Here is a 14,866-nt window from a genome sequence, read left to right as displayed (position 1 = left end):
TAGTGACCTAATAATTAATGATTTTTCATGATATTGTTAATTAGAATAGTATCTGCAGCGTATTCATTATAATTGATTTGTGTGGTCTTTGCCAAACATCACCTCACCTCATAATCCCCCACATTACCCCATTTCGTTAGGCATTATTATTATCATCTTCATTTTATAGATGGGGAAACTGATATCAGGAGAGTTGAAGCAGCTTTCCCAGGACCACACAGCTAGTTAAAAACTGAGCTGAGATGCCTAATGGGTCTGTCCATCCAGAAGCTACACAGTCTGATCACTTTCCCATTTGGGATTGCAGGAGAAGACATTGAGTTCCCTGCTGGGTCAGCAAAGAGGCCCCAGGACATCCCCAGAAGGTGGCCTTTGGGAGTCTCTGAGCCAAGCCCAGGTGTGAGAACTGGTACGGAGCCACTGCCTAGAGGCTACGGTCCTGGGGGTTGGTCGATTTGGCACTGCTGGGGGCTCAGACAGGTGAGCGGGGCCAAGATGACCCTGAAGCTCATTTCTCCCTTGTCTGCTTCCCACCTAGGACCTGTGCAGGTGGCGTCAATTCATTATGGAAGAGGCTTCTGTTGAGCTTGCAAAATACAAATGAAAAGCAAATGCCTGGGGTTGGCAGTGCTGGATTTTAAGCAGAGAAACAGAACTTTCTGGAGTTTGAGGCTCACTTACCTACGCCCACACCCGTCTAGCAAGTTGAGCTAGTGAGTGTGAGTGAGTGAGTGAGCAGAGCAGCAGCAGCTAGCTATATTTCTGCTGCTGGCAGGCACAAGGGCTCGGGCTGATGCTGAAAGGCAGCCCTGCTCGCATCTGCATGGTCCTACCAGCTGGTTCTGGCTCTACATCCTTGCCATTTCTCAGTGTGAGGGTAGACCAGATGACTGGCACTGGTTTGGAGGCTTTCATTGTGTGCACGGCAGAGGAGGTGAGAGCACGAGGTTGGAAGCAAGTCATTCCTCCATCTGATGGCTTGTTGGGTAGCCTAGGGCCAGCCGCTTCACCTGTCTGTGCTTTACTTTCCTCATCTGTAAAATGGGGATAATAATAATTCCTACTTGTTAGGGTTATTGCAGAAGTTAAATTAGAAAGTGCATCAATCCTGAGTACAAGGTGCTTTTTAGCTATTATAAGCTCTTGTTACCAAAATTAATTAGTTTGCCTGGGTCCTTCTCTGCGGCTCTTGATGTCTTTGGTGCATAAATAGTCCCAGAAGAAGAAGAAAAACTAACCAGTATTGACTGGCCAATTTTACTTCAGGGCTTTATTTCAGCCATGGGTTCAGTTTCCAGGAGACTGGAGGAAACGCTATTTTTTTTAGTGAGAGGAGACCCCAAACACTACAGTTTCCTCTGCATAGAGGAGCCGTGGGCTGCATGAAGGAGTTGACCATTGGAGTTTCTGGCTCTGACCCCACTGGGTTCTCCACTGCCTGAGGGCTGCTGTCCACCTTTAATGCTGTGATCTCTACACAGCACAGACCTTGGCCCTGGGGCCTCTGAGTTTTCAGAGATGGTCCAGCCCCTCCAAACACATTGATAAAGATCCAGAGAAGTAAACCTGGGGGCAGCATAGTCACAGCCAGATCATCGGTGATAATTTGACAAAGAAGGGGTTGAAAGAGAGAAGGGTGCCGAGGTAGAGGGAGTGGCTGACTACAACGCAGCCTTGAGGAGGAGAGGGGGTTGCAGTCGGCAATTCTCGGGCCTCAGGCTCTGTTGTTCCTGTGTCTGAGAAAGGAAGGAGCAAAGTGTGCTTGATGGGCCAGGTCCCAGTAGTGCCCTGCTAAAGCCGTATAGCAGTGTGTGTTGGTGTTGAGGTCAGGTGAGTTTGGGAAAATCCCCACCACCAGGAGCAGGTGGAGTTTCGTTATGCAGCCAGCAGAGCTGAGTATAGTAGTAAATAAAGCAGAATATCACACACACACATCTCTGGTGTTTTTATTTTGGTTCCCAGTGTTGGCTTCTGCTACAACTCCTTTCTTTCTCTTCCTTTCCTTTCCTTTCCTTTCCTTTCCTTTCCTTTCCTTTCCTTTCCTTTCCTTTCCTTTCCTTTCCATCTTGTCTTGTCTTTCTTGAGATAGGATTTCACTCTGGTTTCAAGCAGGCTGGAGTGCAGTGGTATGATCATGGCTCACTGCAGCCTCGACCTCCCCAGTTCAAGCGATCCTCTCACTTCAGCCTCCTGAATAACTGGGACTACAGGCATGTACCACCATGCCCAGCTAATTAAAAATTTTTTCATAGAGACGGGTTCTCACTATGTTGCCCAGGCTACTCTTGAACTCCTGACTTCAAGCGATCCTCCCTTTTTGGCCTCCCAAGATGCTGGGATTACAGGCATGAGCACTGCACCTGGCGTCTTTCCACTTCTGATATGTGGACGTGAATGACATGGAAGAAAGTCAGAGAATAAAAGAAAAATTGATTTTCACCTTTTGAGTTTCCTGTCCTTCTCTAGGGAGTGCAAAGGGCTTCTGAGCCCAGACAAGCAGTAAATGAGATGCGTAGGGAAGAGCCATGACATTCCCAGACCAGCAGGACACTTCCCAGACTGTGGGGAGAGGCTGGAGCTGTCAAGGAAGCAAACAAAAGAATGCATCGATATTTTGGGGCCCCAAGGAAGAATCCTGGACCCTGTTTCATTACCAAACCAAGGTTTAGGGGACTTCTAGATGTGATTTTTAGACTCAAGGGCAGAGCAGACTCAGGCCTCATCCTAGTGAGGTGGCAATACTGGAGAGAAGAAATAAATTTATGGTTACAGCTGAGCATTCAGGTAGATCCCTGGAACTCCATGACAAGGAGGTGACTCCTGCACCCCAGAGAGGAGCCCACAGGTCAGAGAGAGACCTCCAGAACAAGAGGGGCCTTGGTCCTGGCAGCAGTCCCCTGAAGGGACCGATGTCAGTGAGAACCAATGTGTCTTTAATCCTTGGGTCCTTGGAATTACATAAACCTCCTGGAGCTTCAGTCCCACCCTGGAGATAGGAAAGGGCTTCAATTTGCTGAGATCAAGCTTCTGCCACCCCCGTGGAATGGGTGCTGGAATAGAATGAAAACATATACAAAAAATGGGGCTACATTTCTTGTACATCTGAGTTTGAGAACTGAGGTTTATTTCTGCTACCGAAAGTAAACAATTTATAATGAGAGAACCAATCAGGTATTTTACTTCCCAGAGCCATGGCTGCCCACACAGGGGTGGGGTCCATGAGGTGCTCCTTTCTAGGCCCTAAGTCTGTCTCTTCCAGGGGCTTCCTGGGACATCCATCTATGGACCCCACAGGGTTCTCTGGACTCTGCCTGGGCTCTGGTGTCCCAGGCTGCCACATGTTTCCCACAGCTGGGTCCTGTTGCCACGGCAACCTCTCCCCACTGCCTCACTCCCATTAACCAGGAGCCCTTCCCGAACTTCTTGATGCCTCTTGATTATGGCATAGATTCTACTTCTGCTGCCAATGCAGGGATAGCCCTCTCAGTTCTCATTCTGGAGGCCTTTTTTACTCCCTAGGTAACTGATGGTAGGAAGGAGAAATGTTCTCTCCTTTCAGATGACAGGTTGCACTTGCCCAGAGAACAGCTGTATTTTCAATCTGGCTGACTCTACATGATCAAAACTTTAAACAGGCTGGGCATCGTGTCTCACGCCTGTAACACTAGCACTTTGGGAGACCGAGGCAGGCGGATCAATTGAGGTCAGAAGTTTGAGACCAGCCTGGCTAACATGGCGAAACCCCGTCTCTACTAAAAATACAAAAATTAGCTGGGCGTGATGGCGCATGCCTGTAATCCCAGCTACTCAGGAGCAAGTGCCTGCAATCCCAGCTATGCAGGAGAATCGCTTGAACCCAGGAGGCAGAGGTTGCAGTGAGCCAAGATCGTGCCACTGCACTCCAGCCTGGACGACAGAGCGAGACTCTGTCTCCAAACAAACAAACAAACACCTTAAACACAAGAGCATTCATCGAATGAACAAGTACAGATGGTGATAAAGGGGCTCTTAATTCCCAGAGGATGGGGCTGGAGGCTGGGCTTCCATTGAGCCTCACAGTCCTCTCTCCTCTCACAGTCCCATGATGGTGCAGAGGAGTTTAGAGGAAAGTAAGAGCCCCACCATGAGGGTTCTGGGGGCCCCTCCAGCTTGGGGCAGAGAGAGGTAAATGCCTACAACCCCATGGACTTTCCACTGCTCCATGACCTCAGTATTTTAGCACTGGTTTCCTTTATGTATTATTCTGGAACTTCTGGGTGCCTAAGAGGGAAAAAATACTTGTTCTCAGTTGATTTCATTCTCGGATTTTCTAGAATGATATGATATTTTTCTGCTTCCCAAGCAGTTGATAGCCTTTGTGGACAAGTGAAAATTAAACAGGAAATAGCTCACTCTAAGGCCATGGAAACTGTGGCCTGCTATACTTGGCAGCTCTTGGTATGGCCCCAAGCCCTAATACCATGGACCTACTAATGAGGCTCCAGACCATGGCCACACACCTGTGGCCAGGAAGAGAGCTAATGACAGGTTTGATTAAATGAATTAAATTGTGTTTCTAGTCCTGGGGGCTGGGGAAGGGGGAGCAGTGTTAAAATTTTGCCAAGCATTTTCTGAAAAAGATAAAGGATATAATCTAATATATTTTCAGCTCCTTGTCTGTGCTGAGAACTGTAAATGAATTGCAGTTCCCCCTGCAAGATTAGCCAACAGAGGCTCAGAGAGGTTAAATGAGTTGCCCAAGGTCCCATGAGCAATTCTGGGATGAAACAGATCTTAGGGTTCCCTTTATTCTCTGTACCTCAATTTTCCCATTTGTAAAATGTGGACAGTAATAGTACCAGCCTCATAAAGATGTAAAGATTAAATGAATGAAGACCACAAAGTACCTCTCACATAGTAAGTGTTAGTGAATGTGAGCATCCCTGGCTGTTCCCACTAGTGCCTGCAAGTGATTCCCATTGCATGAAGTACACTCCTTAGGGATTGCCAAAGCTCCTCTGCCTTTCTCCAGGCACACCAAGCAAGGATGGACTTGCACTTCCACAAGATGACCTAGTTTCAAAGGAATTTGATGCCTCAATTCAAATAAGCTTACAAGAGTCATTCTATTTGCAGCTACTGTGAACTGAACCTTGCTGTTTAGGTAAATTGTCTTTGTCTGGAGGATACTAATCTAATTTTGCTTAATGCCAACTCACATTAAGGCAGAGGGCAAAGTTAAGCCCATGTACACATATATGGGCCTGAAGTGATACAGTGGGCCTTCTGGAACGTGTGGGCTTTCTTCTCTTATGGTGAAAGCCTCTGATAGTGGCATGATCTCATGTTTTTGAATCAGGTGTCTGCATATTCATGCATAGAAAAAATGTTTGAAAGGACCTGTTTAGAAGCCTAACAGTGATTATCTTAGGATGGTGGGCTTGTGGTTGGCTTTTCTTATTTTTATTGAATTATCTACATTATCTAATTTTTCTTCAATAAATACACACTATTTAATAAGTTGAAATTAAATAAAATGACTGTTCTTTGTGTATTAGTCTGTTCTCATGCTGCTATGAAGAAATATCCAAAACTGGGTCATTTATAAAGAAGAGAGGTTTAACTGACTCACAGTTCTGCAAGGCTGGGGAGGCCTCAGAAAACTTACAATCATGGCAGAGGATGAAGGGGAAGCAATGCACCTTCTTCACAAGGTGGTGGGAGAGAGAAGTGCCGAGCAAAGGGGAAACAGCCCCTTATAAAACCATTAGATCTCGTGAGAACTCACTATCATGACAACAGCATAAGGGTAACTGCTCCCACGATTCAATTACCTCCCACCAGGCCCCTCCCATGACACATGGGGATTTTGGGAACTATAATTCAAGATGAGATTTGGGTGGGGACAAGGCCAAACCATACCATTTGCCAACTCCCTTTTTGATGCTGGACATTATATGTTTTTAATATATGTTTGCTCATGAAACCTCACAGCTGTTTCTTTAAGGAAATAATTATTATTTTCCTGCATTTAAGGAGGAAGCTGAGACTTGGAAAAGCTAGAGAATAAAAGTTATTTTTTATCTTTCCACAAAGATCTTTTCCAAAATTCAGGGTCCTTTAATGACTCCTTTCAGGTTTTTCATTAGAGACCCAAATAATAAACTCTCCAGCCCTCTCCCTTTTTTGTAAGCAGCCAGTACCCTGGAAAGCTTCTGTTTTTTTCCTTAGGCCCTGGGAAGAGGATTTTGTGATGTCATGGGCTCAGCAAATTTGCGCCCAGGTCTAAGTGACATCATTAAGGCCTGCTGGGCCAAGAGACCATAGTGGCTTAGCTGAAGCTGTCTCAGCAAGACAGAATCCTGGCTTTCCAAGGAGCCTGCCTGGGGCTGGGCAGGCAGTGGTGCTGAGCAGGGAGAACCCAGAGCTGGCCTTCCCTTGCCCCATGACACTCTGGATCCACAAACCAAAGTTGCCTGGGGATGGTGGTTGACACCTTTACTTGGGTTTCCAGGGCAGGTGTCAAGCAACTTTTAAGAGGCTGTATGGAGTGGGGATTGCATCTTGACTTGGTTTAGTGCAGAAGGGATATGTTTGGGGTTGTTTAGTTTGTTTTCTAAACTGAGCCCTGCTGACTGCCGTTGTAAACCAAGAACACCAGAACATGTTTCCCTGGGCTGACATGTGGGTTAAAGGGGAGAGTGAATATAAAGGGTATGATTTTGTGTATGGGAAAATTACAGCGGCCTATGAACATGTGTAGAGTTGGCTTCATACTCACTGCTGAGCAGGGGTGGACAGGCTCATAAATAGATGCTTGCAGTGCAAAATGTGGCATACAAAGGTCTGCACAGGGCACAGCTCAGAGACGGCAGTCTGGGGTGAGAGGATAGTTGTGAGGGGGCATAGACGTTTCAGAAAAACACAAAATTAAAGCTAGGCCACACGTGGGAATATAATCATCTGTTGAGTGTTTATGGGTTGTAGACAATGTCCTGCCACATTATAATCAGCTCATTTCCCTTGTCACGAACCCAGGAGGCAATACTATTATTCTCTGAAACTCAGAGAAGTTAAGTTACTTGCCCAGTCACATGATTAGTGGTAGAGCTGAGATCTAAACTCAAATTTGTCTGACTCTAAAGCTTGAGTGCTTTCTTTAAAGCTAGATGATGAGAAAGCTAAGTCTACAGTTGGAGCAAAAGGATTGAGGTGGCCAACAGAGAGAGTTTGAGCAGTCCTGAGTTGTCTTCTCTTGCCTATGAACACTCCTCCTTAGGGGAAGTAGCACATGTCTAAGCTCTAAACCGGGGTTTCTCAACTTCGGCACCATTATCATTTTGGGTGGAATTATTATTTGTTGTGGGTGCTGTTCTGTGCATTACAGGGCACTTAGCAGCACTGTTGGCCTCTACCTAAGGGATGCTAGGTGCATCCCTTTTCCTCTCAGTTGTGATAAACAAAAATATCTCCAGACATTGGTAAATGTCTTTTGGGAGACAAAATGCTCCCCTTTCCAATAAGAACCCCTATGCTAAGCACAATGATGCCTGAGTGAATGTCCAACCCAAGGTGAGCTCCCAGTTTATACAACCAGCCAGACCTTTATACAATCAGACCTTTGCCTGGATGCTGTTCTGTTCAAGCCTAACATGCTCCAAATGGAACTCCTGGTCTTCTATCAATTTATTCTCTCTGCATCAACTTTGCCCAGGTCATTTCAAGGTATCTCCATTTTCTCACTTGCTCAAATGAGAAGACCCAAACTCATCTTTAATCTTTTCTTTTTCTCTCACCCTCATATCAAATATACTAACAAGATTTATTTGTTCAATCTCCAAAGTACTTCCGGAATCCGCATACTTCTGTCTGCCTCAACTCCCTACCCCATCCATACCAGGCTCACCTCTCACCAAGATAACCCCACTTACCACTTAAACTATTTCTACTGGTTGCCTCCTCTCAGCACATTCTCCAGGCAACAGCAATAGTGATTTTTTTAAAGCATAAATGTGATTCTATCACATCTCTGCTTAAGTTATTTCAACCTCTTCTCATCGCTTGTTGAAAAAAATCCCCTGTAAACCATGGCACTTAAGACTTTACTTGTTCTGGTCCTGGCCAACCTTTCTGACCTTATTGCATGACTTCTTCATCTTGCTGGAAGCCATGAGGCTACATTTCTCTCATTCTGTTAATCAAACAGGCAACCTCTTTCTGGTTTCAGAGCTTTTGCACTTTCTATTCCTTCTTATGGAAATGCTTTCTCCCCAGAGGCCAGTTGTTTCCTCCCTCAGGCCTCTGCACACAGTTTCTCTGCATGGCTGTGCTTGCTTAATCTTTGCATGGCCAGAAACTTTTAATCCAAATTCAATATCAGCTCCTCAGAGAGCCTTTTTCTGGCCCACCAATCCTAAATCACTGCTCTAACTCTGCTATCCTCTGTCTCAGGGCTGTTTCTTGTATTTAACTTGAAAAATATGTATTTATACATTTAGATGTTTACCTTTTAAATATTTTTTCTCTGGTAAAATGTTTCCTGACACATAAACTGGTTTGAGAAACTTAAAAATGAACTCTCCAGTATGGTTGGGTTTCAAGGCTTCACGGTTTTTCCAAAGAAACTGTGGAGAAATGGATTCCAGTTACCAGTGGTTTCACTAAGAAGACTCTATTGCTGAACCTAGCAGAGAATTACAGAGGTTGGTTGCAGCTGACTCAATTTGATTTACTGACCAAACACCCCTCAAAACATTTGGGAGCCTTCAGCAGTTTTGGTAGCAGAGGTTAGCTGTACCTTGGAACTGTCCTTGGTGCTGAAACAGACACAACAGCAAGGCGGGGATGGGAAATGCCACAGTGGGACCTGTCCCCTTCTCTGCACACAGAGAAGGTGTATGCTGACCGCCTGTCATTCTGTGAGTTTCTGAAGAGGTTTCCTGGTCAAGGGTAGAGGAGAGGTGATTGGCAGCAAGAGGCATCTCTAAGGAGTCTGTGCCTCCTGTTTGAAGCCCCCCTTCCTTACACTGTGATCCTTCTTCTGAAGGAGTTATGCTTTATTTTCACAATACAGGCTTAAATATTGGGAATGATCTTTGGAAATGAAGAGAATAGTTAGGGGTCTTGATGCTTTTTTTTCTACTTTCAACAGTCAAGTATTTACTAATCAGACAGTTATGATGCTTTTACTTCTTTTACTTTAACAACATTAAGGTGCTAAACAAGTAAGCACCCCCAGAAACATTTTAAAGCATCTTACATGGTTTCTAATATTTGTTAATTTATTCAACATACATTTCCTGAGCGCTTGATCTCTGCTAGATCCTGCACGGGACACTCACTTAGTAGATGTAATCTCTTATAATTTCCACAAAATCCTAAAGAACAACTCTAATTCCCATTTCATGGATGAGGAAACTGAGGCTCAAAAGGTAACTTGCCTAGGATCTCACTGACAGTAACAGAGACAGGATCTTTTTAACTCCAAATCCCATGCTCTTTACTTTCATCTTAAAATTTATTTAAACATGTTTAACATACACGCAAAAGTATAGTCATATAACACCCAGATTTAAGAAATAGAATATTACATATAAAAATAAAGCTTTCTGGGTAGACAAGTCTCTCTCTCTCCACAGCCACTCTGATTGTATATCTCATGTCTCTTTGCCAGGAAACCTATAAATTTTGTTTATTTTTCCAATGCTTATCTTTTTATTTTTGCCACATATGTATATTTCTAAAACATATACAACATTCTTGCATGTTTAAAAATTTGAATATAAATATTATTCATTCTGTGTATATTCTTCTGTAACATACCTTTTGACTCACGATTATTATTTGGAGATTCTCCCAAGTAGCTTAGGTTTATTTTCTCCTTGATCTTGCTACAAGACCCCACCATCCAAGGTGCTCAGTCTAGTGGGACATGGATGGACAGATAACTTATAGAACTGTGAAATAATGGTAGCATGACATAAAGAGTCAGGGAACCCCATGAGCTCCAAGAGCAACAAATTTAGCCCAGGGGATCATGGAGAGCTTCGTGGAGGAGATGCCCTTGAAAAAAGTTGAAGAGAGAAGAAGACAATCCAGAGAGCAGGAACAGAATTTGGAAAAGGACAGTATATTACCATGAAGAGAGAGAGTGAGAGCGAGAGAGGGAGAGAGAGAGGGGAGTGAAGTGTTGCCAAATAATAGACTATGAGGAGAGTCATGGCAGGATGTGAGACTGGGAAAATCCCTGACAGCTTAATAATGAGTGACTAAAGGGCTTCTGGTGCCCTTTCCTTGCATGTGTTTACCAATTCTAAAGGGTATTTACAGTCATTCTGAAAGATAAAGAAATTAAAACTTAAAAAATTAGGTCACTGTCCCTAAGTCACACAACTGGAAGGTGGAAGAGCTGAAAGTCAAACTCAAGTCCTGGTGATCAAGTCCAGGAAGCTTCCTTCTATGTCATTTATATGACTGACACTGGAAGATAGAAAAAAATAGGAAGATGGTTTTAGCAAAGCGGGTGAGGGGTGTGTGGTGAAAGCTGCACCCTTTTTATATATAAAGAAAAGAAAAATCAGAATATCTGATCTCTACTTATAAAACACAGGTAAATCTATATCTTTGGTGATATTTTGTGGTTGACAATTAAAACATTTCAGGAGCATGATGGGCCAATTCAAACATGTTTGTGGCTCACATGTGGTCACTGTACTGTGACCACTGTCTGTGACTTTTGCAGACATAATTTGCAGCAATGCCCTTAAGATGAGTCTGTTACAAACAGATAGAAAGATACATAGGGGGATATAAATAGGTAGCAATCATAACGACAGCAGTCACCCATTTTGTGGATAACAAGGTGAGGCCCAGCTGTGAGAAAGTTCACACAATTAGGATGAAAAGAGCAGGAATTGAATCCAAGTCTGGGTCCTTTTAACTGCACCTTATTTGCTCTCCATGTGAGAGATGTGGCCTTAGAGTAGCTGTCTGTCATTCTTGTTGACCCGATATCTGAACCCCTTTCCTCTTTGTGAAGACTCCTCCATCTTTGAGACAGAATCTACTTTTCAGTATAAAAAATAAAAATGAACGAACTTTTTCTAGGATCCCTTGTGTATGGCACTGAGTTTGACCTTCATGTGTACCCACCCCAAACTATGAGCGATAAGCTAGTGACACCAGAAACACAGGCCATGCCAAATCTTTTGTGGGGATGAGTTAGTTGTGGTAATGGTGCTTACCTTTTAAATATTTTTTCTCTGGTAAAAGGTTGCCTGGAACATAATCTGGTTTGAGAAACTTTTAAAATGAACTCTACATATGGTTGGGCTTCAAGGCTTCATGATTTTTCCAAACAGAAACTGTGGAGAAATGAATTCCAGTTACCAGTGGTTTCACAAAGAAGACCCTATTGCTGAAACTAGCAGAGAATTGCAACTGCCTCAATTTGCTTTTCTGACCAAACACCCCTCAAAAACGTTTGGGAGCCATCAGCAGTTTTGGTAGTAGCAGAGGTTAGTGGCACCTTGGAGCTGTCCTTGGTGTGGAACACGCCAGCAAGGAGGGGATGGAAAATGCTGCATTGGCTTCATCTAAATTCCAGTTTCAATGTCATCACCTGTCTCAGTTCATTTTGTGTTGCTTATAATAGAATACCTAAAGCTGGGTAATTTATAAAGAAAAGGAATTTATTTCTTGCAGTTATGAGGGCTGAGCAGTCCAAGGTCAAGGGGTCACAACTGGTGGGCTGGTGAAGAATCTTCTTGTGGTGGAGATTCTCTGAGGAATCCCAAAATGGCACAAAACATCACGTGGTGAGGGGGCTGAGTGTGCTACTCCGCTCTCTCTCTTCTTATAAAGCCACAGGTGCCACTCTTGTCATAAACCATTAATCCATTAACATATTAACCCATGAACCCTCATTACTCAATCGCCTCTTAAAGGCCTCACTTCTCAATACTGCCACATTGGGGACTACATTTCAGTATGAGTTTTGGAGGGGGCAAACATTCCAAACCATAGCACCTCCCATAATATTGGCGGTATAAGCTGCTGGGCCTGTCCTCATCCGTGGCAACTATAAACTGGTATCTAAACTGGGCCAATATGTACAGTGATTTTAAGATATTATCCTTGGCTGCATAGCTTCTCAATTCAGATCTCCACTCTCTGTGAGATACAAGACCTATCCAATATCACCATAACAAATCATTTTTCTATTTAAATTAGCCAGAGCCAGTGCTTGATACAGGTTCCCTGATCCCAAAACCCTAAAAAACATACAAAAGAGTACTGGGAGTTTTGCATGCTGAGTTTTATTTTTTCAACATTTCACTGCCAAAGTTTCATTTAAAATTACTGACAGCAATTTTCTGATTGCCTGTGATAATATATTCTGGCTATTTATGACTCCATCTGTGGGGAGAACAAAAATCCTCCTGAATTCCTTGAGTGATAGCCTTTGCATAATTTTGCTCTGCCCTCTTGTTCTTATGATGACTGTGCCTCTAAATAGCCACACTGATTGCTTTTCTTTCCAAATCACAGGAGCCAAAGTCTCCTCTTTGCCGTATCCTCATTTTCAGAGAATATGGCGGCATAGCTTCAGTTTTACTCTTTTCTTAGGTATTTGTGTCTTCCTTGTATCCCCAAAGTTCTTGTTTGGGAACACTGTATCAGTCAAGACAGGCTAGGTTGTGACACACTAACAAATAATACTAAAATCTTATTGTCTTACAATTCCAGAAGTTTGGGTCTATCCTGAGTCAGCCAGATTCTACTTTTAAGTCTTCAATCTGGGATCCAGCTGATGGAAAAACCTCTTTCTGGAACATTGTCATATGTATAGCAGAAAGGAAAGAAATGTAGCAAATTGTGTGCTGACTCTTGAAGCTTTTCTCAGGAAATGAATCATCACTTCTTCCCTGCTGTCATGGACCAAAGAAGTTATGTAGTTTGCTCCTAAATTCATTAGAGTGGGGATGTATTATTCTCCCACAGGGAAGGGAAACACAAAGAGGGAAAGCCCATTTTTGAAGTAACCAGACATTAAGTTCTTTTCCCCCTTTTCAGGCAGAAACACTCAAGTTCTTCTTCTCTTTAAGAGAGACCTCAAAGACTGCCCCTGCTGCCTTCTGTGAATCTCTGCTTCAAGATCAAAGTTCAGAATCTCCTCAGGAGGTGTGATCATTTCTGCATGGTCCTTACCAGATACGATGCACCTAGATTCAGAAAACAATTGTCATAGTTTGGTTTCTCTAGAAAGATACCTTGAGATAGGGACTCAACATGCAAATGATTTATCTGGGAAATGAAAAAAAACTATTAGAGGATTGGGTAAGTGAGACAAAACATAAGGTAGCCAAGGTAGCCAATAAAAGGCATGGGCAATTGGAGCTAACTCCCACTGGAGAAATGATGAGAGCCAGTGAAGACAGATAACTCAACGTTATCCCACTTGAGAGACAGGGAACCTTGGGTACTTATACATTGATTCCCATCAGTCATTGGTTGAGGGATGTTCCCAAGTGGGTTAATTCCTCAGCACTTCTAGATTTCCATGTTGGTGGAAGGAAACCTCAGGCCAAGGGACTCTAGTGATGTAGTTGGATATTGGTAAGTATGTATGGAAGAGTCAAGGTAGGGTTATAGGAATGAGACACCAACATCATCACTGCACCCATGAGCTGAAAATATAATATATCTATTTATTTCTCCCCCAAATACAGTGTCAGAACAGAGATAGGATAATCTTAATAAATTCTATATTTTAGAAAAGGAAAGAATGAAAGGCACACAGCAGTCACTGGCCCATAGCAATTCTGTAATCCTGTATGGCAGACATGAGATTTCTAGGTAGGGTTGGGATATTCCTTGTCTATTGTTCTCCTTCACCCTCTGGGATGATGTCCTTCCCTTTCCATGATCTTTCTTAGATGCAATTGAAGAGGGATTTGGAGAATAACCCCTCATGGAGGGCTAAATACCTCTCTCACTCACTATCTTCCATAGAAGGTTGACAACCTACAAGTTTTGAACTGTTACGATCTTTATTTTTTGTCTAGAAGGGTGGTTATTTTGACATAAAACTCTTAAAAACTTAGCTGGTGTCTTGTAGTCAACAACATATGCCAGTAGCAACACCCACAATTCTTCCTGAGACATGACTTTCTCTCAAAATTTAGTTGTTTTTATCTTTTTACCCATTTTCTGAGTGAACCCTTGAGATCTTTTTTTCCTAAGCAATTTGGTCTAACTAAAAAGATTTATTAGAGCTGTGTTAGTTTTCTATTGCTGCCTAATAAATTACCACAATCTTATTGGCTTAAAACACCACACATTCATCACCTCTAGTTCTGTCAGTCAGAAGTCTGGGCAGTGTGACACTGTTCATTGCTCAGGGTCTCATAAGGCTGAAATCCAGACTTCAGCTGGTCTGAATGCCTTTCTGAAGCTCAGCATCCTCTTTCAACTCATGTGGTTGTAGGACGGAGGTCTCTGGTTTCCTGTTGACTTTTCTCCAGGGATCACATTTAACCCCTAGAGGCTGTCCTCTGGTTCTTACATCTCCAAAGCCAGCCACAAAATTTCACATTCCTCAGATCTCTCTAACCTCGTTTAAGGGTTCACCTGGTTATCAAGACCATCCAGGAAAATTTTTATAAACTTTTTGATAAAATTTTGATAAGCTTTTTGATAAAACAAAATCTCCTGATTAGGGGCCTTAATTACATTTGCAAAATCCCTTTTGCCATGTAACTTAAGATAACCAAGGGAGTGATACCCCACTATATTAACACTTTTCTGCTTACATTCAAGGGGAGGTTATATAAAGTGTGTGCACACATACCAACCTAGTCAGAAGACACATATACCATCTTAATTC

The 14,866-nt window shown here is 43.2% G+C and overlaps 2 annotated features.

Moving 5' to 3' along the window:
- Positions 1,346-1,517: a silencer, noted in NCBI's record as "fragment chr5:174756399-174756570 (GRCh37/hg19 assembly coordinates)". NCBI's record gives its function as "represses an EF-1alpha promoter that drives an FKBP-Casp9 reporter gene in an ReSE screen in HepG2 liver carcinoma cells {active_cell/tissue: HepG2}" and the evidence as "EXISTENCE:reporter gene assay evidence [ECO:0000049][PMID:32094911]".
- Positions 8,720-8,920: a silencer, noted in NCBI's record as "peak5585 fragment used in MPRA reporter construct". NCBI's record gives its function as "represses an SCP1 promoter by STARR-seq MPRAs in K562 erythroleukemia cells {active_cell/tissue: K562}" and the evidence as "EXISTENCE:reporter gene assay evidence [ECO:0000049][PMID:32103011]".

Source organism: Homo sapiens, chromosome 5 (assembly GCF_000001405.40).
Source record: "Homo sapiens chromosome 5, GRCh38.p14 Primary Assembly".
NCBI lineage: Eukaryota > Metazoa > Chordata > Mammalia > Primates > Hominidae > Homo > Homo sapiens.
This window is presented reverse-complemented; position numbering and strand designations above follow the sequence as displayed.